Source organism: Homo sapiens, chromosome 9 (genome assembly GCF_000001405.40).
Source record: "Homo sapiens chromosome 9, GRCh38.p14 Primary Assembly".
Lineage (NCBI taxonomy): Eukaryota > Metazoa > Chordata > Mammalia > Primates > Hominidae > Homo > Homo sapiens.
The window spans coordinates 40900838-40902459 of record NC_000009.12 but is presented as its reverse complement, the minus strand read 5'-3'; the positions used below and the strand labels follow the sequence as shown (position 1 = coordinate 40902459).

General features: G+C 37.0%; 1 annotated feature.

Moving 5' to 3' along the window:
- Positions 465-966: an enhancer, noted in NCBI's record as "NANOG hESC enhancer chr9:66854522-66855023 (GRCh37/hg19 assembly coordinates)". NCBI's record gives its function as "activates a minimal SCP1, AML or CMV promoter by ChIP-STARR-seq in naive H9 embryonic stem cells {active_cell/tissue: H9 hESC(naive)}" and the evidence as "EXISTENCE:reporter gene assay evidence [ECO:0000049][PMID:30033119]".

Here is a 1622-nt window from a genome sequence, read left to right as displayed (position 1 = left end):
AAAACGCCTCAATCAAAAGGAAGGGTTAACTCTGTGAGATGAATGCACACATCACAAAGAAGTTTTTCAGATTGCTTCTGTCTGGATTTTATGTGAAGATGTTTCCTTTTCTACAGTAGGCCACAAATCGCTCTAACTGTCCAGTTGCAGATTCTACAAAAAGCGTGTTTCCAATCTGCTTAATAAAAAGAAAGCTTCAACTCTGTGAGATGAACGCACATATCACAATGAAGTTTCTCAGAATTCTTCTGTCTAGTTTTACATGAAGATATTTCCTTTTCCAGCTGAGGCCTCCAAGTGTTCAGATTGTCCACTTACAGATACTACAAAAAGAGAGTTTCAAAACTGGTCAGTCAAAAGAAAGGCTTAACTCTGTGAGATGAATGCACACATCACAAAGAAGTTTCACAGATTGCTTCTTTCTAGATTTTATGTGAAGATATTTCCTTTTCTACTATAGGCTGCAAAGCGTTCCAAATATCCACTTGCAGATTCTACAAACAGAGGCTTTCCAAACTGCTCAATAAAAAGAAAAGTTTAACTCTGTGAGATGAATGCACAAATCACAAAGAAGTTTCTCAGAATTCTTCTGTCTAGTTTTTATGTGAAGATATTTCCTTTTCCACCATAGGCCTCAAAGCGCTCCAAATGTCCACTTGCAGTTTCTACAAAAAGAGAGTTTCAAAACTGCTCAATCAAAAGAAAGGTTTAACTCTATGAGATGAATGCACACATCATAAAGAAGTTTCTCAGATTGCTTCTGTCTAGATGTGATATGAAGATATTTCCCTTTCTACAACAGGCCGCAAAGCACTCCAAATGTCCACTTGCAGATTCTACAAAAAGAGTGATTCCAAACTGCTCAATCAAAAGAAAGGCTCAACTCTGTGAGACGAATTCACATATCACAAAGAAGTTTCTCAGAATTCTTCTGTCCAGTTTTTATGTGAAGATATTTACTTTTCCACCATAGGCCTCAAACCGCTCCAAATGTCCACTTGAAGATTCTACAGAAAGAGTTTCAGAACTGCTCAATCAAAAGAAAGGTTTAACTCTGTGAGTTGAATACACATATCACAAAGAAGTTTCTCAGATTGCTTCTGTCTAGGTTTTATGTGAAGGTATTTCCTTTTCTACTGTAGGCCACAGAGTGCACCAAATGTACACTTGCAGGTTGTACAAAAAGAGTGTTTCCAAACTGCTCAATCAAAAGAAAAGTTCAACTCTGTGAGATGAACACACGTATCACAAAGAAGTTTCTCATAATTCTTCTGTCTAGTTTTTATGTGAAGATATTTCCTTTTCCACCATAGGCCTCAAAGGGCTCCAACTGTCCACTTGCAGATTCTGCAAAAAGAGAGTTTCAAAACTCCTCAATCAAAAGAAATGTTTAACTCTGTGAGATGAATGCACATGTCAGAGAGAAGTTTCTCAGATTGTTTCTGTCTAGACTTTATGTGAAGATATTTCCTTTTCTTCCACAGGCTGCAAAGTGCTCCAACTGTCAACTTGCAGATTCTACAAAAAGAGTGTTTCCAAACTGTTGAATCAAAAGAAATTTTCAAATCTGTGAGATGAAAGCACACATCACAAAGAAGTTTGTCAGAATTCTTCTGTCTAGT